Source organism: Homo sapiens, chromosome 11 (assembly GCF_000001405.40).
Source record: "Homo sapiens chromosome 11, GRCh38.p14 Primary Assembly".
Lineage (NCBI taxonomy): Eukaryota > Metazoa > Chordata > Mammalia > Primates > Hominidae > Homo > Homo sapiens.
In genome coordinates this window covers 77,341,691-77,364,760 of record NC_000011.10, presented here as the reverse complement: position 1 = coordinate 77,364,760, position 23,070 = coordinate 77,341,691, and the positions used below count along the sequence as shown (strand labels likewise).

General features: G+C 38.4%; 1 protein-coding gene across 50 annotated transcripts in view; it reads left to right on the top strand.

Moving 5' to 3' along the window:
• The window catches only part of PAK1 (p21 (RAC1) activated kinase 1), a 207,993-nt gene that overhangs the window by 165,249 nt on the left and 19,674 nt on the right, over positions 1-23,070 (top strand). For 47 of the 50 annotated variants that reach the window (NR_164797.1, NR_164798.1, XM_024448560.2 and 44 more), the window contains 5 exons: positions 5,744-5,863; positions 8,919-9,093; positions 11,162-11,225; positions 15,474-15,522; positions 20,830-20,942. Coding sequence is in view for 48 of the 50 variants with exons in the window: in XM_024448560.2 (XP_024304328.1) it covers positions 5,744-5,863; positions 8,919-9,093; positions 11,162-11,225; positions 15,474-15,522; positions 20,830-20,942 (521 nt within the window). In the remaining 2 variants the exon portion in view is untranslated. The remainder of the gene's footprint in view (positions 1-5,743; positions 5,864-8,918; positions 9,094-11,161; positions 11,226-15,473; positions 15,523-20,829; positions 20,943-23,070) is intronic. The other 3 variants (NM_001376294.1, NM_001376295.1, NM_001376303.1) reach the window with 3 other exon arrangements.

The following is a 23,070-nucleotide window of genomic DNA, read 5'->3' as shown; positions in this document are numbered from 1 at the left end:
TCTGAGTTGAAATCTTTATTCTCTAAAGCCAACATTTGGGGACATTCAGAGTTCCTGTTGATTGCTTTTTTCCCCCTAGGTCGTGCTTTCCTGTTTCTTTCCATGTCTTATAATTTCTTGTTGAAAATTCAATATTTAGATAATATTCTGTACCAATTCTGGATACTGATAGCCCCCTCCCCCAAAAAAGTTGCTAGCTTTTTTATTTGTTGGTTTTGTATTATCTTACTAGGGATAAATCTGTGACATAGTCTCTGTCTGTGGTCATTGATGTCATTGCTCAGTGTTTGTTGTTTTTTTGTTTGTTTTTGTGGTGGTTTTGTTGTTGTTGTTTTGTTTTGTTGCAGCCTGGCTTTCCAGAGATTGCTTCTATGTTTGCTTAGCTGAATCTTTAGCCAATGATTTGACACAGATGGTGCTCAAAAACTTCAACTCTGTAAGGCTTCTTTCCTCTGTTGATGGATCTATGTGTAGGTAGGGGAGTACATTTACTGTTTAGGCCTTTTTCAAGTCTGTTCCAGCTTTTACTTTATGTTGGGCTCTTTTGAATCTTTTATGTGTATGCACATAGCCAGGCATGTGTGACTAGCATGAGGCTTTTCTAGCGTCTGCTGTGCCTGTGAACAGCCTTAGCCAGAAATTAGTTTGCCCTACTCAGGACTGTAGCTTCAGGCTAATAGAGCTGAATAGTTGACCCTCTGCCGCTACCACCTTTGGAAGTCACTTCCAATGACAGTGCCACTGGGCCTGGGCATTGCCCATATCTCCAGCACAAAGTGAATGTTCTTGGACTATGCAGTTATACCCTGGTCTGCCCTGATGGAACCCCCACACTTCTGGAGTTGGGGCTCGGATGGATGGGAACATCCCTTGCCCAGAATGCCAGAGATTCTATTTTTAACCCAAAGTTCAGGAGTTTATCAGTCATAAGCACTTCTCAATATTTTGTTGACCTTTGTTGGATTTCCAGGGAACTGAAATGGTTTTTGTCAATTTTGTCCAGATTTATAGTTGCTTGTTGGGGAGAGGATTTGCCAGTCTTCTCTCTCTGCCATACCTGGCAGTCTGCTTATAATATTTTTAAAAAGATAAAGGACAGATTATTCTGGGCTGTAATAAAAGATGCATTAGAGAAGGCAAGACTGGGGTCCCAAAAAGCAATGAGGAAGACTTGTAAAGGATTGGTAAAGGTAAGAGAATATGGTGCCTAAGTGAAAGCAGTGGTTATGAGGCTAAGGAACAGAAGGTTTAATGGAAAGAACTTTTTGAATCCTGATACGGTTTATTTTCCTTTTTATCATACTGCTTCTCATGGAGGGAGTGGGGAAAGGATTTTATGTTTAGTCAGGTATCAATCCTTGGTCTCCCTATCCCAAGGAAAAGTATCAAGTTGATCTTGTAGGGTGAGCATAGTCTTCCTACTGGGACAGAATGCTTAGTGAGCACACCCTGGCTACCATCTCATCTCCTCTCTGGGTTGGGTTGTCACATTTCAGTGGCCATTTTCAATCTGTTTGCATTATATCATTCCGAGCTGCCCAGAGCCTTGAGTTTTGATTCCAGTACCTAGTCATTTTCTTCTTCACTATTTTCCTTGACCTTAAAACTTCTATTTGATCAGGCAGCAGCCACCCAAAATTTCCTTAGGATATAGTCTTATCCTTGACTGTCTTAGCTGAACCTTGGAGCCTTCCCAAGGTGGTTTTTAACTGGCCTGTTAAAAACCTGACCTGTTGAGAGCTGGTTTTGATCATGTTGAAGATATAATAAAGCAAACAAGCTTTTATAGGATATGAAAAAAACCATCAGACCCACTAATTTTTACTGTAGAATGTAGGCTAATGGTTTAAGTCAGTTAATAGTACAGTTCTTCGCCATTTTGGCATCTTCCTTCACAATCCTGTTCCCATTATCTCCACTTTTTCAATTACTGAGTGCCCCATCATTTAGATATTTCATTCCAGTTTATACTACTATTGGATAAGACATATTCATTTAGCAATCCTATACTGAGCACTTTCTAATCATCTGGCCAACATCATTATCATAGCTAATATTTGAGTATTTTAAAAATGAATTTTACATAGCTTTATCTCATTTAACCTCACACTAACACTAAAGTAAGTACTAATACAGGCTGTATTTCATAACTGAGGAAAGTGAGAGAATTAATATCTTACGCAGAACTCATAGTTTGTAAGTGATAAAGGCGTGATTTGATCCTAAGCTAGTTGATTCCAAAATGTTGGTTTTTAAGTATTATTCTATCCTGCCTGATAAAACAGACAGTTCAACATAAAACCTTAATTGGAGAGAATTATAAAGTAGCCAGTGATATTGTGTTAGTAATTCTAATGAAGAAGAAAAAGAAAAAAGAAAATCAAACTAAAAATTGGTATCAGTGGAAAAGTACATAAAGTATATTCCAACAGAGGACGTTTGAGATCTGTCACTAGAAGAACAATTGAGGAAGTTGCAAGAAGAACGAACTTACAAAGTAGTTACAAAGAAGTTTCCAGTGTATTTATTCCTTATTGTCAACTGGTTATATGCTAAGAATATACACCTTTAAGCAAATGCCCAAATTGCAAGGATATAATCCAGGGTACTATTCATACATTTCTGTAATAAAGAAAACCCAAACCGGTGGATAAATTTATATAGAAACACCTTTAAAATATTGTTGAACAATTGATGCTATCTGAAGTTAGTAACCTTAAATTAGTAACATTAGTAATCTTAAATTAGTAACATTTGTGTTCTACAGTGTTTTGGTTCTAGTATCTTGTTTTCAAAAAAGTAGACAGTATCACAGATTATATTTAATATTCTTGCCTATTTGCAGTAGAAAACTTGCCTGTGATGAATATTTTTGTATTTAAGGCAGTGGAGATGGTATATTAGTATATATGTATGAACATATGATGAATAAAAGTGCTATTCATACAACATTTCAGGAAGTAATAAATTTGGTACTCTTTCTAAAAGCTTTGAGTACTCTATCAGACTATACTTTAAAAGAACTGAGAACCAAGAACCCTTGAGTTTGTTAGAGTTATAGGTGCAAATTTTCTTTGGTGCTTTTCACTATTTTGTTATAAAATAGGAATTTGTATTTTATTGCCATTGATTAAAAAAACCTTTTCTCTAATTTGTGAGAAACATCTTAATAAAGCACTTTAAAAAGAAAAAAAATGTATAGATTACATCACTGTTCTACTCACAGTCCTCCAGTGGTTTCTTATTCTAGGTCTAAACTCCAGAGTTTTTATTACCGCCTCTCTGACTTTACATAATCTGATTCCCAGCTAACTTTCTGACCTTGTTTCTTTCCTTACTTCCCCTTACTAACTTTGTTACACCCACATAGGTAGAATTCCTAAGGGTTGTGGGAACATACCAAGCATGTTTCTGTCTCAGAGTCTTTAACTTCTTCCATCTGCTAGGAATATCCTTTTCTCAGAGAGCCCCGTGGCTTGCTCCCTTAATTCATTCAGGTCACTGTTATATGACATTTTATTAGAGAGGCTTGCCTGTGCCTATCGTATCTAAAATAGTATCTCCCCACCTTGTCAACCAATCTCTGCTCCTATATGGAGCAGACACTTTGGTGATTGTTTTTTACTCTATTCTCTTCTAGAATGTAAGTCATAGAACCAGGGACTTTATCTGTTTTATTCTTTATGTAGCCCCAGAGCCTAGAATGGAGTCTGGCACACAGTGAATGGATGGATGGATGGATGGCTATATGGGTAGATGGATGATGAATTGGAATGTCTGGCTTTTGTTTGAAACAGAGATTTGTGGTTATTAGACATAATGATAATTTAATTGATTCCTTACATCTCTCTAGCTCTTTACCATTTTCAGTGATTTTATGCTCACTTTGCCTCATTTAATCCATTCAGTGGCCTTCTGAGGTAGGCAGAGAGCTGTAGTCATTACCCCTGTTTTATAAATTAAAAATGTGAGACTTAACTTAGACCCTTGCCCAAGGACACAGGGCTAAGAAGTAAAAATCTGGGTAATAACCTAGACCTTTCTCTCTCTGACAGATGTTAATATCACTGCCCAAAGCTATCACCTATGGAAAACAGAATCTTTTACTGAGGAAGGTGTTGAAATCCCCTTCTCTACAGTTTTATAAAGCAAACAAACCTAGTGTTTACAGTATACATCAGGGGAGCTCCAGGGCTACCTGATGATGAAGAGCCTTGCTGAGTCAACTGTATTCCCACATTAGGTTTTTAGTTAAATTTTGTTGAGTGGAATAGTGGGGAGAAAATAAATTAGAGCAGAAAAATATCGAAATACATATTTTGACAGGGAAAGGACCTCTATTGAGTTTTGGAACTTAAAGCGATTTAAGGTCATCTTTCAAATTATAACACTCCTCTTCCTTCACATTCCTCAGGTGATTAAACTTCAAACCAAGAGGACAGATTTATTGCCTATGGTCACCACAACTGCTTATATATGCCCGGCACTGTCAGTTTTTAACTTATGCTTTGTGCTGGAGGCCCTGTTAAAATCTATGCCAGTTTTTCTTACTTTAGTATGTCAAATGTGGTAAAAGACAGTCTCCCACAGTCAGTACCTCTAGTATATTATTCCTTAGTTCTTCCATTTATCCCGTTATTCTGACTCTGGACCTTCCTCTTAGGAGGCTCCAGGTGTCAGGCAGGAGGGGCTCTCATCCTGTCTATCTCCTATACCAGATGGTCACTACTTTAGGACATGGACCATCTTTTTCATCTTTGTACATTTATGTCAACAGTACCTATCACAGTCTTACTGAGCACAAAGTAGGTGCTCTGAAAATACCTGAAACTGTTGAATTATATCAGTATATATTAAAAGATCCCCATTGCCTCTCCAGTTCTTTGCTGATCAAATGATAGAATCATTTGGTATCTATCAAAAATCTCATATTTTGGAGGCATTTTGTCTCTTAATTCTGTGTAATAAACAGTAATGGTATGCTATTTTTGCCTGGACCTGCCCTAAAACCTGCCACTCTTGGCCCAGCTCTCTTATAGTTTGCATGGGGAAATCAGGTTGTCACAGATTGTAAGCAGATCTAATTAGTGGTAAGTTCCATTCCAGGGTAGGGCAGAAACTTAGGGAAATAGTATCCAGTCTGGGGAGAAATTCATTGTTCTCTTTAGATAACATGATCCTGATGCTGATGTTCTTTATCTTCAGGTTGAGGTGAGGACCCCTGGTAATGTAATGGGTTCAGGAGATTTTTGCAAAGAGAGGAAAAGGGCAGGGCAAAAGCCTGTTTAGACTGCCATTTACCATATCAGGAGAGAGTAAGAAATTATAGTGATGAATTTTGAAAAATTAGAAACTTTTGATCTCTTCCCTACATTTCATACTTTATTTCCTGTTCAGTGTGGAGAGAAAAATTCATAGAATAAGAAGGTACTGTGAGCTTGTCTTCAGGGGTTGGGTTGGGGGAGAGGCAGGTAGAAAAGCTGTAAGCTAGCTTCCCATTCACAGCTAGGCTTTGAGTGGGAGAAGGAAGCCCCAAGGGACTGAGTGGATAGTGATGGCTAAAAGAAGAGGGAGAAACAGATTGAGCTTCTGAGACTAGCTACACAAAGGTGAGAGCTTGGAGGCTAATGTGTATTTCAGAAGGGATATCAGGATGGGGTTTCTCGTGGGAGGTTTGGTGATCCTGATAGTTAAGTTCCATGGCAGCTGGACCAGATGCATCTTGCTTTTCTTCTTTGCACAGAATGTGAAGGCTGTGTCTGAGACTCCTGCAGTGCCACCAGTTTCAGAAGATGAGGATGATGATGATGATGATGCTACCCCACCACCAGTGATTGCTCCACGCCCAGAGCACACAAAATCTGTGAGTCTTTGGGGACCTGGCCAGTTTTGTGATTTATTAGAGTAAGTGGGGAGAGGGAGGAGTTGGTGCTGATACCTAGAAGTTTAATATTCTGGTAGGCGTCCTTAGATTTTGGAGCTGGTGAAATCACTGAACTACCTTGACTAAAGGTACTTTCTGTATGATTAAAGACAAAAAATCATGTGTTTATTTATCATTGGTTTGCAGATAGTCCCAAAGTGTCCTAGGTAATTGATGTTTATACCAGTCCAGTCTCGGTTCTCCACAGATAGGACAGGAAGATATATAGGATTGATGCTACTTAGTGCAGGACTAACATAAATTATTCCAGTCTCCAGGGAAGCAACAAATTGTCTTGCTACAGATCTTTTCTTCTCTGTTAAATGTGCAGTGTTCAGCCTCTTAGAGCATTATTGATAATATTGAAAGACCCAAGAGAATATATAAATACATTAGTGCTATTAATATGCTGGGCATCAGGAGTGCATTTTGATGCCGGATGTTGGCAGTGATTTCTATTTAACTTCCTTTGAGGTTCCTGCATCTCTGAGAATAGCCATGGTCCCTCTAACCTTGCTTTGAAACATCTAGTCCCTGTGCCTTTTACTTAATTTGGCATCACTGAGCACTGACCTACCATCAGATGATACTCTACTAGTGTTTCTTTGTTTAGGTCTTTTACTAAGATGAGAGCTCCATAATGAAGGAACCATCTAGCACTTCTGTGATCATGAAAGAAAAAAAAAAGGGCTACCTCTGGAATACAGCATTCAGGGAGGTGTTCAAACAGAAATTGGTTGAATGACTATTGGAGATGCTGTGGAGGAAATTCAAAGGAATTATATGACCTATTAGGATGAGAACTTACAAACAGAATCTGTGGAATCATCTCTGTAGGTCACAAAGTTACCTCAAGGGAAAATGCGCTTCAAAATTGGAGAGTCGTTAACACTGATATGGTTTTTTTTGGTTTGTAGACATGTTCATTTAAAACATTTTTTTCCCCACTAAACCATGAACACCTCAAAAAGTAGAGGAAATCCATATGTATGTATTTCTAGTGCTTAACATAGTTCTTGGCACCTGCAGAGGTGGGTAAATATCAGAGGACAGTAAATATTGAATTAATTAATTAATTGATCTTCATAGCATTTCTTTCTAAAAAGGTATTGGTAATTCCTAATTTATAGAAGAAGCAGCTGAGATTTGGAGAGGTGAATTGATCTGCCCAGTCTCTTAGTAAACAAAAGAGCCAGGATTTGAAAGCAGGTAATTAACCCCAACTCCAGGTTGTTTTCCACCATAGCACAGTGGTATTTTTGTGTGTACAAACCTGTGCTAGGAGCCAGAGAAGGAGACTATTAAAGAAGGAAAAGGCAAGGTTTCTGTCTTCAAAGAGATATATCAGGACAGGCAAAAGAGGACAAGGCATGGAAGTACAGGTTTAGGTGCCTGGGATATAGTTTGTCTACAGGTACAAGAATAGAAAATTGAGAAATCATTATGCTAGAGTAGTAATCAGGAAGGAAGCCATTGCCTCTGATCTCAGCGTCTTGGCTTATTGCTGTTCCCACTACTGGAATGTTCTCTCCCATTTCCACCTATTAAAAGCCTGTCCAGTCAAAAGGTAGCATGGTCAAGCAGTCCAAGGTGCAGGATGTAGTTGGCTTTAGTCTCTGTGGAGCCATGGGTTTGAGTCCCACTGTTGCCAATGGCTTTGCATCATCGCAGATAAATGATCATCATAGATAAATGATCCTCTATCTTTGTAGAAACCTATCCGTCCTTCAGGATCCAGTTGCAGGATCCTGTTTGTTTATTTATTCCATCAAATATTTACCTGAATGCTTGCTTTCTTTTAGTAAGTGGTTAGATGGAGGAACTCACGGATGAATGACCCACATTCCCTGTCCTTATACTGTTTATGGACTATGCAAAAGATAATTGTGATATTTTTATGATAAAATCTGTTAAATACCTTGAAGCATCTCCTGGGGAAAGGAAGTATAATTTATGATCACTTCTGAACCTCAGTAGTATATAGCTTGCTTATTTCTTTATAACATGTATCACTTTCTGCCTTGTAGTTATGATTTTCTCACCTCCTTTATAAGAATGAGAGGTTGGGGCAGCATTTTGTACAGGGTGAGGCAACAAATAGATTCTCAGTAAATGTTTGTTATGTAAATGAATGAATAGGACATTTAATATTTTTAAAAGGTAAAATTTGAGTGCTTAATGTCTGCTGGGGATGAGTCTGATTACCTCACATATTAATCAGTTTACTCCTACAGCAACCCCAAAAGATAGTTATCATTATTATCACCATTTTATAGATGAGGAAACTGAAACACAGAGAAGTTAAGTAACCTGCCCAAAGTCATGCAGAAGGTAAGAATAATAAGAGTTGGGATTTAAGTTCAGGCAGTCAGGTTCCAGAGTCCATGTTCTAAATCATCACACTCTACTACCTCTTGATGAAGAACAAAAGTAGTTCCTTCCCTGCAAGGGTTCAGGATGTAAGGAGGGAGTAACTCAATAGAAGTTGGTGTTGTACTAGTAATGCAAAGTGCTATTTGCATTACTACAGGATATGTCTTTTAACTTGGGGAAGCATAAAATATTACAAATGAAGGGGATTCTTACCTAATAGAATTGTCTTCAACTAATTTCTTTTGTTACAGAATATTTCTTTTAGCTTGGGGAATACAGGATATTTCTTTTAGCTTGGGGAAGCATAAAATATTACAGATGAAGGGGATTCTTATCTAATAGAATTGTCTTTAACTAATTTCTTTTGATAGTTGTCTAGCCTCTATTGAATATCTTTAGTGCTGAGACTCTCACTTCTTTTGTTTACAGTGAGAGTAAGGAAGGCCATTTTACCCAGAATGGGTGGGCCTGGGCACAGAGGAGGAGTAATATAGATTTTGACATAAGAGAAAGGATGAGTTTATTGGGGTTTGCTCTGTGGATGTTCTAACCTCACATCTAGGAGAGGTTCCCCTATGCTAACAAAGGCTGGTCTTGCCAAAATTTTGCACTAATAATGCAGGTATACACACGGTCTGTGATTGAACCACTTCCTGTCACTCCAACTCGGGACGTGGCTACATCTCCCATTTCACCTACTGAAAATAACACCACTCCACCAGATGCTTTGACCCGGAATACTGAGAAGCAGAAGAAGAAGCCTAAAATGTCTGATGAGGAGATCTTGGAGAAATTACGTAAGGAATTTGTAGCTTTCTGAACCTTTCTTCGTTTTATGACTGGTCAAGCACAGAGATTTGCTGGTCGTAGGCTTGGTCCATGCAGCTGGCTGGCCATGCTTGGTACCTTAGGCACAGACTGCTTCTCCTCACCCTGCCCCTGAACCTCCCTTCCCTGTCTCACAGCCCTGGTTGGATACTATGTTAGGATGGAGATGTGGTGAGAGTGTGGATAGCTTACTTTGAGGGCAGGGCATCCCTCACCCCTAGGCATGTATTATAGCGAAGACAAATAGTTTTTCTCTAATGAATAGCCTAGAATGCCATGTTGAGAAAGACTGAGGACCTAGTGGAAAAGGGCACTGTGATCAATTATTGATGTTTTGCCATTGACCTAGGAGAAGACGCATCTGCCATCTTGGTTGTAGGAAAAGAGGGAAGGGAAGTTAACATTTTATGAACCTATAGTATGTATCAAATGACAAGCAAAATATTTTCTTGATTTTTTTTAAATTTAATTCTCTTATTAACCCTGTGAAGAAAAGCATTATGATCCTAATTTTTGCAATGAAGATATCTGAGGCTCAGGGAGGCTAAATATCCTGCCCAAAATCACGCAGCTAAAAAGTGACATGGCTGAGGTTAGAACACAGTTTTTGTTCCTGTAAGTAGAGCATACTGCCTCTTGCTGTCAAGTGGAAACTTCCATTTTACTTTCTTTAGCTGCCAGAAATGGGGGTATGTTAGGGTAGCTTATTTCTGTGTTTCAGTAAACTGCAGAAGAATTCATGTTAGAAGGAAGAACTAGGTTGATCTGTGGGCTTGGAAGAATCATTTGACAAGGGCTTTAATTTATTCACTGTATCTACTTACTTCCAAAAAGGATTTGATGTGACCGATTTGGCGACGTCTGCAAACTGGCATTGCTTTGTGGTTCTCTAGTTCTTCCTGATTAATTCCTATATGACTTTAAAACAAATTTTCACTGTTTTAAAAATTGCCCTTTTCTGGATCCCTCATAAAATGACAAAGTAAGAAAAGCCACTTACCTAGTCATCTGTTTACTCCTGTATGTAGTCTTGTTCTCTAAACCAGAGTTTTTTGTTTTGTTTTGTTTTAACAATAACACTTAGAATTATGACTTAGAATTAAGACTTGGCCTGGGAGTTAGGACACTTGAGTTGAAGCTTCTGCTCAGCCACTGACTTGTGTCTTAGGCAATTTTCTACTGTTCTCTAAACCTCATTTTTCTCATTTTTAAAATAGGGATGTTAATACTTGTCTCATTTGCAAATCAAATGAGGTAATATATGTGAAAAGTACCAATTCCTAGTAATTGGGTATTAATGGAGAGCACATTGGACCGGGAGACTAAAAATGAAACTCCTAATCTTAGCTCTGACACCAATTTGCTGTGTGACCTTGGGGGGGAAGTATCTTCTTCCCTTCTGTGGGCCTCAATTTCTCCATCTCTAAAATACAAGTTATAAAACCCAGTGGAAAACCTCTATGTCGTTGCACTTGAAATATTCTTTGTTGTAAACCTCTTCTCTACTTTATCTCTCTGGCTTTTACTTAAAGTGGAAATCAGTCCATATATCACCTTTCTGAAGTTTTTCCAGTCTTTTTTTTGTGTGTGTGTGCCTCTTTCTGTACCCCTTTGGCTTTTATCACAGCAATTATTATATTTTCATGGAACTTTATGCTTACTTATCTGTCTCCTCCATGAAATTGACCTTCTTGAGAGCAGGGACTGCCTTGACTGTGTCATATCTCTTCATTCCTAACACAACATATGGCTTGGTGCGTATTAAATGAGTAAATATTTACTGAATGGATTAATTAAAAAATGAATGACTTTTAGGAGTTTAGAAATGGAATAGCTTACTATGAATCAAAGCAGTCAAGGTGATGAAACTTTTGGTTGAGACTTATGGGGGAAAAGCTGAGGGCCTGTTTAGCATGCTTTTTGGCTATTGGAGGTAGTTCTTTAACCCTTGCCAGCTACAGGGGTTGGGGAAATGTGGAACCTTTTTTGTATCTTGATTTGGGAAAAAATGATTCATGGTCTCTGTTTCTTTCAAAGGAAGCATAGTGAGTGTGGGCGATCCTAAGAAGAAATATACACGGTTTGAGAAGATTGGACAAGGGTTAGTAGGGGCATTTTCTTTCCCTGGAGAAATGACTTTAAAGTGTGTGTGCCGGCATATATGATTTTGCTTTTTTTTTGCCTCTCATAAACCTTGTTCTTCTTTCTCCACTTTACCCCTCACCCATCTGGAGTTGTTATGTGAGACTGACTTGAGATTTGGCAGAATTATGCTTAATATGAGAGAGATGCCATTAGCTGACCATGTTGCTAAAAATACCCCTGCAGTGACAGTGAGAGAACGGTTTTTTTTCTTAGCACAAAACCAACTTCCCAAATTACAACTCTGCTTTTCCGGATGAACCCTGTTTGTCCTAGTGCTGAGATCCACCAGCACTAATATAAAATGGAAGACCCAAAACTATAAATCCTTCTACTACTGTGATAGGACCTGTTTTTCTAGGTAGATGCCAGAATTTATCCTTCTTGCATTCATCCTTCTCTGTATCTTATATGCTGCCCTCAGTGTAATGAATTCAGCAAGTCTTAACTGAGTTCCTATTGTGTGCAAGGCACTATGAATTCAGAGACAATCTCTGCTTCCAAGGACCTCAAGTCAACAGAAAAAGATAGGCAAACAATTGTATAGTCATATGTTGCCTAACAAAGGGGATATGTTCTGAGAAGTGCATCCTTAGGCAGTTTTGTCATGTGAGCGTCATAGAGTGAACACAAAACTAAATAGTATAGCCTACTACACACCTAGGCTATATGGTATAGCCTCTTGCTCCTAGGCTACAAGCCTGTACAGCATGTTACTGTACTGAATACTGTAGGCAATTATAACACAATGGTGGTTGTATATCTAAACATAGAAAAGATACGGTAAAAATACAGCATAAAAGATAAAAAAAAGGTATATTTATGTAGGGCACTTAACATGGATGGAGCTTGTAGGACTGGAAGTTGCTCTAGGTGAGTCAGTGAGTGGTGAGTGAATGTCGAGGCCTAGGACATTACTGTGTACGCTACTGTAGACTTTATAAACCCTGTACACTTAGACTGTACATTTATTAAAAAACAAAGTAATTGTGCTATGACGTTACAACTGCTACAGTGTTACTGGGTGATAGGAATTTTTCAGCTCCATCATAATCTTATGGGACCACCATCATATGCGGTCCATCGTTGACTGAAACGTCGTTATGTGACACATGACTGTCTTGTGTTTTTAAAGTGTTTGGCTGTTATTTTGAGTGAAAGAAGCTAGATATGAAAAAGCAGATACTGTCTCATTTGATTTATATGAAATTCAAGAACAGGCAAAAGTAATATATGATAATAGAAGTCAGAATAGTGGTTATTTCTGGGAGGAGGATGTAGAGTGGGAATAGGCATGAAGGAATCTTCGGGGGTAATGACTGTAGTGTCTTTTGAAAGTGGCCATTATTTTGAGTGAAAAAAGCCAGATATAAAAGAGCAGATACTATGTCATTCTATTTATATGAAATTCAAGAACAAGCAAAACTAATGTATGATAATAGAAGTCAGAACAGTGTAGTTATTTCTGGGAGGAGGATGTTGAGTAGGAATAGTCATGAGGGAATCTTTGGGGGTGATCTTGGTAGTGAACACATGGGTGTGTACATATATAAAAATCAAGTTGTACACTTAAGATTTGTGCAAATTAAGTTATACCTCTCTATAAAAAAAAAATGAGATTTCTAAAGACCCACCAAAAGAGATAAAATTAAAAAGAAACTGAAAAAGAAAAATGTCTGGCTCTCAGTGTTAGTGGAATGAAAGCATTGTTGCTAATGATGTCATTGAAATTTTCTTTTTTTTTTTAAATTATACACCCAAGAATTTCTGAAAATAAAAGATTGCATAATATAGGGAGGTTCTGTTTATACAGCATTCTACAGTTCACATCTGTTATTTGCATTTATTGTTTAATCCTCAGAACAACTCTGGGCTTGAGTGGATCTTATTTTTTTCTAGTTCCAGTGTTTTTCAAAATAGACATACTTTTGTGAGTTTGAACTGGTGTAAGGTATTTAACACCTTGAGAAAAAAATTATTTTGCTTACCTCAGAGTAATGTGGGATGGTATTTCCTTTAGGTAGTGAAATTGAGATATTAAGAATGTAGCAGAAATGTACATGGACAAGCATAGGCAAGTCAGGTTTCTTCTCTGGACTGGAGTTTCTTCCTGTAAATTTAAGGAAGACAGATTGTGAATTGAGGACCTTTTACCTCCAGAACTTTTGTGACTTTTTTTTTTTTTTTAGTTACTGATATATGAGACCTATAAATAGGCAACATCTGCATAATGTTCTTTCCTTGCTTACTTGACAGGTCTGTTAGTGCTAAGGGAAGAATGAAATATTAATTAAGCACTTATGCTGATGTTTCCACATTGCATAATTTTTAAAATATAACTGTCACACCAATATGATGAATTGGTAATATTGTAATTTTTGCTTGCTTTTATTTCTCCTTTAAGACCTGAAGATTATTATTCTTTTGGACTTGGAATTCATATGTCTAATTATATGTCTATTCAAGTTAGAAATAGGTATTAAGCAGTGGGCCTAAGTAGCTTTCTACAACTTTGTAATCATGGAGACAGTCCCCTGAGGCTTGGGCATGTTTGTCCTTTAAGAATATTACATCTAGTAGGATCAGGAAGGGATGGGGATAGGAAGACAGATACCAGCTTTATAACAGAAGATAGCTAGGGGCAGGATAATCAGGCAGTGAAGAAATAACTGCCTGTACAAGTCATCCAATCCTTATTTTATAGCCAGTATGTTATAGTCACAGTTTCTAGGCATGTAGCTAGGGTCCCAACTAAAGAGTGATGATTAGGGAGCTGGTGACCATAGTTTCTAGCTGCAAGGCATGCTTACACATGACTTTTCCCCCTGGATTGACCTGGAATTATAATCTCAGGGCTTGCCTAGGAAGCAGTCTTGTAATAGAGCAGAATTTTAATTTTCTTCAAATTGCATCATATGTACCTAACATATGGCATGTACAGGTACAAATATGTGTTACAAATTACTTACCTACAAATACACAGGGTTTATGGTCTTAAGCATAAAATGAGGGTTTTAGTTATTTTGAATGGATTTAGTTATTTTGAATGAATTATTACTTTCCTAGCATTATTTCTGCATTTCTTCCCCCCTTCTCTGTCTGTATATATGAATGTGTATATACTTAACATACATATGTGTACACACATGTGTCAAGTGGGGTCATTCTTACCTTGGGGGTGGGGCAGAGGTACCCTCAGATCTTCTGGGAGCATGTATGTTTGAAAGAGTATATTTAATATCATTTTATGTTTGAAAAATGAAAACTAAAAACCACTTTTATAATACAAACTACAGAAAACAAAATTCACATATCCTGTTGATGGAATAAATGATTGAAAACCATTATTTTATTTTAAAGGATCCAAGTGTATCCTGTAATATCAGAGTGGGAAGGGTACTTTGAGATTAGATTATTCAGTGTGGTTCTTCAAGTTTTTATAGTTTTTTACTATTTATAGTTTTTTAAAGTAAATTTTCACTAAAGATAGCATACATAAGTGTACAACTCAATGAATTTTCAAAAAGTGAACACGCCTATGTAACCAGTACCCAGATTAAGAAAAAGAACATTACCGACACCCTGGAAGTCCATATTCCTTTTTGATAAATAAATAAGATATGCTGGCCCACCCCCAAACACATTCTGAAATTCTCCGCAGGGCCCCTTTCTCCCCACCTGTCACCCCCCCAGTTGAAAATCATAGATCTAATCTTATCCCTTTTATAGATGAAGAGTTTGAAGCCACAAGAAATTAGAGCCACGTGCCAAGGGTGATGGAGGAGAGGAGAGAAGCAAGCAGGAACAGGAAATTAATATATATTGAGCATCTGTTATATGATATGCAGTTGGCTAAGTACTTTACATGAACTAATCAATTTAAATTATCTTGTATTCTCTTATGTCCACTTTACAAATGAGGAAAGTGAAGCTCAAAGAAGTTAAATAACTTTCTTAAGATCCTACCTAGTAGGTACTAGGTAGAAGTACCAGGTTGGAATTCAGGTCTCCTGGCCACTAGAGCCTACATTCTCTGTACTACCTCTTATAGCTTCTTAAATGTGAGAATGGATGCTGCAGGGAGAGGATTATTTTTACTGCTCTTGTTTTTGACACTCACAGATTGTGTGTAGAACTGCATTTGACAAATATCACTTTATTGAACACTGTGTTTTTTTCCCTCTTTCTCCGCCACCTTACTGTTCAGTGCTTCAGGCACCGTGTACACAGCAATGGATGTGGCCACAGGACAGGAGGTGAGTATCCACCACCCACTGTTGCTCCTTTAGTTCTGTTTCTTTTTATTTGGGATTAATTTTTAGCCCTTGTTAGGTCAACAGGAACAGTTCTAGGTTTTTTTTTTTTTTTTTGGGATGGGGTCTCACTCTGTCATCCAGGCTGGAGTGCAGTGGCGTGATCTCTGCTCACTGCAGCCTCCGCCTACTAGGTTCAAGCAGTTCTCCAGCCTCAGCCTCCTGAGTAGCTGGGATTATAGGAACCTGCCACCATGCCTGGCTAATTTTTGTATTTTTTAGTAGAGGTGAGGTTTCACCATGTTAGCCAGGCTGCTCTCGAACTCCTGACCTTAGGTGATCTTCCTGCCTCGGCCTCCCAAAGGGCTAGGATTACAGGCATGAGCCAGTGTGCCCAGCTGGAACATATCTAGTTTCTTACTGTAGCATACAAAAGCCAAATAGCAGGATAACATTATGAAACTTAAGGTTTGGACTAAGGTGAAATAGTTAGATGGAGGGAAGTGGATGGATTTGAGAGATAACTTAGCAGGTAGGTTCAACAGGATTAGATGATTGAATGTGAACATTACTTACAAGTGGGTGATATTATTCAAGGAGAAAGGAAAAAGAAATTGGATACTGCCTGATTGCCAAGTGGATAGTTGCTTACATAACTTTGGGGCTTGGGGGAGAAATCTGATCTACAGGAGATTTAAACCATGTCTCTTGACTCCTAATCTACTGGTGCTACCTTTACTTTCCACTGAACAGTGAAATCCTCATTTATTTGGAGGCAGCTTTTTGTCCCTCTCATTTCATTAAGCCATGAGAACTATAGCTAAAGCCTGCTGACCCAAGGTCTTATATTCAGTAGAAGAAAGATATGAAGGGAATATAGAGTACTTGAGGTTTCCTTGCATTTTAATATTTGGTTGCAGAGTAGGAGTGTCAGCCAATGAACTGTGGATGGCAGCTGCCCCAGAGAAGTTCTTACTTCAAAGAGTACCAGTACACAATAATTGAGAGAGGCACCTCCTCTTCCAATGAAAATAGAGTTGGGCTTCTGTGAGGGAGGCTGCTAGAAACGTGCTTCTATATTTTTGGTGGTTGAAACCACGTGGCACCCTGGAGAAGTCATGGTTAATAGGGGTAGCACATATCTCACTAGGCTCTTGTGAGTTTTTACAAGTGTTAAAGCCAAATATTAAGGCTCCACCTAGGGTAAGCCAAGTTTTAAAAATCATTATTATGGTTAAGGATTTATTCATTATTCTTTGATGTGAGAATCCAAAGACCTAGATGCTTATAAGCCTTTAGCTACTTATATAACCTTGGGCAAGTCATTTGACCTCTCTGAGCCTGAATTTTATATATTTATAAAATGTGCATAATAAAATGTCCACGAAAGTGTTGAAAGAATTCAGTAAAGCAATACATGTGAAAATGCATTATAAACTTTATGAACTACATATTCATATTTATTCATTTTTACTCATATACATGTGTATGTATTCCACAAAGCATTTGCTTTATGCCACACCTTATGCTAAGAATTCTGTGAAAGTTCACAGACATTAAAATCATATGTAAATGTAAGAGACCATAATTTCCTTTGTGTACATATAAAAGCCTTGTAATATTGACACGAATCTGCCTTAAAGTAAAAATAATGGTGAGGAAGGAAGGATAATATTATCATGGCATTTTAATGATGGTGAATATGATGCAGAGATTAAAATAAAGAAGGCTATACCAATCCTGAAAAGAACTCTATGAGGTAGGTAATATTATTTCTTCTTTACTGCTGAGGAATTTGAGGCTCAGGGTGTATAGATAACTTTTTTTTGCAAAGTTGTACTGTCAGCAATTACCAGGGACTGGATTAGAATCTTTGACTCCTAATCCTGTGTGTTTTGGGCCGCAAGAGCACAACAGAGCTGAGGTTAGATACTAGAGTCCCTTCTGGCCTCTCAGGCCTCACAGTCCTTGATGGGAGGCAGGTAGGTGATGATGGTGGTTCCTGGAAGCCCTGGAGGCTGGCTGTGTGAGAAGCTGGCCAGAGGAAAGAGAAATTTAAATTCATTGTATGCGTGTCTTGTGGTTACAAAACTATGAATGGAAGGGAGTCCATCAGGGTGGCTAATGCAGTGTGGTCAGGAAGGCTTCATTTCCTGCCCCAGGGAGAATAAATCTTTATTGGAGTCCATGGGATGCTCTCAGTCTTTGTGAGTTCTTGCTTATTGGGGGTTATCCAGCTGAGAAGGGCAGACCTAGTGTCTCACATATAGGAAGAATGTTAGTGCTGGGAAGTCTTCCAGTTAACATATCCAACAATTATTTTTCAAGTGTGTTTTTAGAGAGAATGTGTACAATAGAAAGAACAGACTGGAAGAGGCTTTGGAGTCACATGGACCTGTAGGCATTGATTATGACCTTAGAATTTTCTTATGAGTCTTAGCCTCAATTTTCTTACTGAAAATGCAGATCATGATTCTTACTTTGTAGGGTTGTGTGTGGTTAGGTTTTACTGTGATAATATAAGTACGTCATCTAGCACAGAGCCTGGCACACAGTTGGTATTTGATAAACAGTAGCGGTGGGAGAGTAGTTGCTGTGCCAAGTACTTATTAAATGCTGTTATTACTGTGATTACCATTTTTGTTATTGTCTAAATTTATTGCTTAAATTATTTACTTATATGTGAGTAATGCATTGGCCATTGTCTCACTTGGTATTCAAAACAATCCTGAAAAGAGGGGAATCAAGGTTGAGATTATCTTCAATGTATTGATGAAGAGACTGAGGCTCAGAGAGCTTGTGATTGGTCAAGGTCAGTAAGTGACAGTCAGATCCTGAGCTTAAGTCCTCAGAGTTCAAGTCCAGTTCTTTTTCTGTTACAGGAATGCTATCTCCTAGCCTATATAGGTGGGGCTTAGGTGAAGGACACTTAGCCTAGCCCATAGTTAGTAGCTATTGAAAAGGACTCCTGGCCAGGCGCGGTTGCTCATGCCTGTAATCCCAGCACTTTGGGAGGCTGAGGCAGGCAGATTACGAGATCAGGAGTTCGAGACCAGCCTGGCCAACGTGGTGAAACCCTGTTTCTACTAAAAATACCAAAATTAGCTGGGTGCGATGGCAGATGCCTGTAATCCCAGCTACACGGGAGGCTGAGGCAGGAGAATCACTTGAACCCTGGGGGCAGAGGTTGCAGTGAGCAGAGATTGCCATTGCACTCCAGCCTGGGCAACAGAGCAAGACTCTGTATTAAAAGAAAAAGTAAAAAGAAAAGGACTCCCATGTCCTTCCCTAGCCTCCATGTTAGCCTCTTTCTGCCTCTCCTCCCCTGCTGCTGCCAGCAGTGACCACTGTGTGGTTCGTAAGCAGTGTCCCATCCTCCAAGATGGCATGAGTAACTCAAAAGACATTCTTCTGGCTCCAGTCCTTAATGTGCGTTATAAGGGCTAACTATACTTAATATCTTTAGATCAACATGTTGCTTTTCAAACGTTAGGAAAAACTAATGCTCAGCTGTTATAGACAGCTGCAGCCAGACCAGAAGCCTGACCTAACAGGAAACCCCACTCCAAAGCAATTTTTCCTTACTTGAGGTAGGGAATGGAGGTGGTCAGATTTTTTTACAGAATTACTTCTATTCTAAATGATTAACCTGGTCTCTGCAAGAGACTGTCCATTCTTGACTTGAAGAAATAATAGAGTCAGGGATTTGTCACATAAAAGTTTGAATCATTCCTTCTTTATACTTCTTGCTGCTTCTAGAAAGACAACTTAGTTCTGTTAGATGTTCGTGTTCTTGTCCACTAAGCAGGAAAAAGGAAAAATATCTCTAGAGAATGAACACTTAGAAAATAATTTAAAGTATACTTCTATGGGATAGAGGAGCCCATTGCCATTTTTTTTTTGTTTTTATTTAAAAACAAAGTACTTTCCAACCTACTGATTTCTCTCTTGCCATCTTCCTTTCTACAGACATTTGTTGAGCACCAACTCTGTGTGTAAAGGCCTGTGTTTGGCATTGAGGGTTCTGGGCTTTCAATCAAGCCCTCAAACCTCTCAATACACACAAACATACACACTAATCATTATACATGATAGCAAGTTGTAAGTTCCATAAGAGAGGGATAAATATGATCTTATAGGGCTTTAAAGAAGGGAAAAGGCATATTGGGTTTGGAGAATGAAGTTTCCTTTGGCCTGATACAAAAAGAGTAAGTAGCTTTTGAATGTATGGAAATGATACAGGCTGTTCCAGATGAAGAGAAGATTCTGAACAAAGGAAGGGGGACTAGATACCAGGGAGAACATGGAGTGTTCTCCATGAACACTCTCCTCTGTGAAGGAATAGAGTTGGAAGTAAAGTAGGGGCCAGATCATGAGAACTTTGAATGTTGTACTGAGAAGCATTTCTAGGCAACCAGGAGCCATGTAAGTTTTTGAACAAGGTTATCAAATGTGTACTGTGGGGGAAAATTAATCTGGCTACATGTACAGGATAACTTGACATCCCTTTTGAGGGTTCTAATCCTGATTTTGCTATTGAATAGCTATGTATGCAAGTCACATCCTCTCTGAAACACAGTTTCCCCGTCTGTTGAATCATTAGTAATATTTAGCACACAAGGTGTCTTTGAAGATTAAATGAAATAACAAATTTGAGAACACCTTATAATAGTACCTTACACATAGAAGGAATTGATACCAAGTACCTTAGAAACTAACGTATACCATATATTCATGTTGTCTGGAAATTTGTTTTTATTTCTGTAGATAGAGCTCTCATCCTCCTTTTCTCTTCTTTCTTAACCTGATCAACTCTGATTTATCTTTCTACGCCAGGTTCAGAAAGTCACTTCCCCCTTTATGAAGCCTCTATACCTAGCCAGATTGAAAGCATTCTTGGCTTTTGCCGTATTTTATGTTTCGCTAGCATTTTGTATGAGCCTCTGTTATAGCATCTCTTTTCTGTTGTGACTTTTTAAAAGTATTTTTCTACACCAAAGTTTGATTCTGAAACTTTGATGTGTATCACAGTGACCTGGAGGACTTTTTACATCACAGAGCTTCTGATTTAGTAGATTTGGGGTGGGACCCGAGGTTTTTATTTCCAACAAGCTCCCAGATGATGATGATGCTGGCTTGAGACCTCACTTTGAAGACCACTGGTCTACATAGACAAACTGTGAATTACTCGAGGGCTAAGACTGTATCTTACTCATCTTTGTTTCCTGAGTACTTAAGGTCTGGTACTTAGCAGGTGCTCAATAAATGGGAATGACTATGGTTGCACATTGAATATACTCTTGATTTCAGGTGGCCATTAAGCAGATGAATCTTCAGCAGCAGCCCAAGAAAGAGCTGATTATTAATGAGATCCTGGTCATGAGGGAAAACAAGAACCCAAACATTGTGAATTACTTGGACAGGTATGGAGTGGTGGGTCCCATCAGAGGGAAAGGGCCTTTGGGACTGATTGGTGGTGAAGCTGTTAGAGAAGAGGGCAGTGCCAGCCCTCAGAACTGCCTCCATTTATGAGTCTTCTGTGATGCTGAGCTCTCTGTATGTGACCCTGTGTAATGCTGGACACCTTTTTTGCTGGGAAATCCTTCTGTGTTAGGCTGAACTCTACCACCGTGTAGCTTCTAACAGTTGATCCTCGTACTGTTTGTTTTGCCTAAGGGAAACCTACCAACCCATCTGCCTGAGTCAAACATCTAGGTCCTTAACTCATTTTACATCCCAAATCTTTCCTTATTCTGCTCATCCTCCTGAATAACTTGTTGTTTGTTTATGTTCTCTTAAAATGCAGTGTGCAGAACTAGATGTTTCATTTGAGATCTGACCACTATGGAGAGAGTGGGACTCTTTCTAAACTCAACACAGCTTAATGATTTCATTCTTGTTTTATCTTTTAGGTTGTCTGCTTTGACTCCCAGTAAGTTTGCAGTCAACTAAAATTTCTGATTTTTTTTTTTTTTTTTACGTAAGCTTGCATTAAACTGGAAATGTGGAACTTTTTCACTATCTTCATTAAGTCCCATTTTTATTATTTTAGCCCATCATTCCAGCCCATCAAAATTTTTTTGCAAAATAGTAATAGTGGTTGTATATAATATTTGTATTGTGCTTTACTTTGTACCAAGCACTTTCATGAACAGTATCTCATTGTGAGGTAGGGTTTTTTTATCCATATTTTACAGACAAGGAAACTGAGGTTTATAGACGTTAATAACTTGTCCAAGAGTAGTAAGCCATAAAACAGCAAAGCAGTGTTTTGAATTTGAATATTCCTAGCACCAATATCTAGCACCTTTCTATTTTATCATGTTCTTTTCTCCGATACCTGAAAAAAAAAAAAAGTTAAGCTTCTTGCCCAGGGTTCAGAGACATCGTAGGTGGAGGTGAAATTGGACTAAATCTTGGACTCTAATTTCTTTACCTCTTATATTGCATGACCAGCTACCTCTTCCTGTTACTGGTAGATTTCATAAGGGCGCCTTCTTGTTCTGCATCTAAAACACTAGTAAGCTTCAGTTTCCTTAAAGAAGAAAAGAGTTGAACTTTGACATTCCCAACACTATAAAGAATAAAGCCTTCTTCTTTGAGATGGCTGTGTCTCCTTAATGTGGGTCCTGACTGGCTCTGAAGAATCCTCTGAAAGTTAGTACCTTATCATCTCTTTCAGAACTTATTATACAGAGAATATAGCTCATGCAAACTACTGAAGGCGACAGGGGTATTAGATTTTGGTTCAGGATATGGAAAAATGAAAGCTGTCAGTAAGGGTATGGCCTGTCTCACAAAATGGTGAGTTCCCCATCAGTGGATGCATCTACATGATAAAACGATGTTATTGAAGGAATTTGTGTTCTGGGAGTAGGATTAAGAGACTTATAGATTTGTTTATTAATCATATCTTTACCAGTATTCCCAGAGACTTTTACTCTGGAAATTAGAAGTAAATAATGCTATCTTTGCCCTCAAATAGTTCCTGGTCTGGTATAGAAAAAAAAAAAATACCTCTGTAAGGTCATGGAAGAGGACATTAACCTGAGCATTCAGTGAAGGTGTTGCAAATGAGGGTCTGTGGTTTTTGTGAGATGTCCCAGAGGGGAACTCCATCACATATGGATGAACTCATGGGCAGAACCCTCATGATGTAATCACCTTCCAAAGGCCCCACCTCCTAATAACATTAGTGATTAGATTTTCAACATATAAATTTTGAGGGACACAAACATTCAGACCATAGCAGTTCAAATCCCCATAGTCTTCTCTCTCAAAAGAGATTGTTGAAGAAACACTTAGTCTGTCATGTTTATTAGTCAGGACATTAAAAAATTATAAATCAGAACACAGAGTTTTATGGAAAGAGCTGTCGATTAGTAGTCAAAAAAATAGGATTCAAATCTTACCCTTGCTTGATTGCATTTGTTAAAATCTTCCAACAGTCTCCACATCTGTCCAGCAGTATTCCCAATATCAGGATGAAGATAAGATGATACCACACAGTTCAAGCCAATGCAAGAAATGTTTTTTTCCAATCCAGCTTCT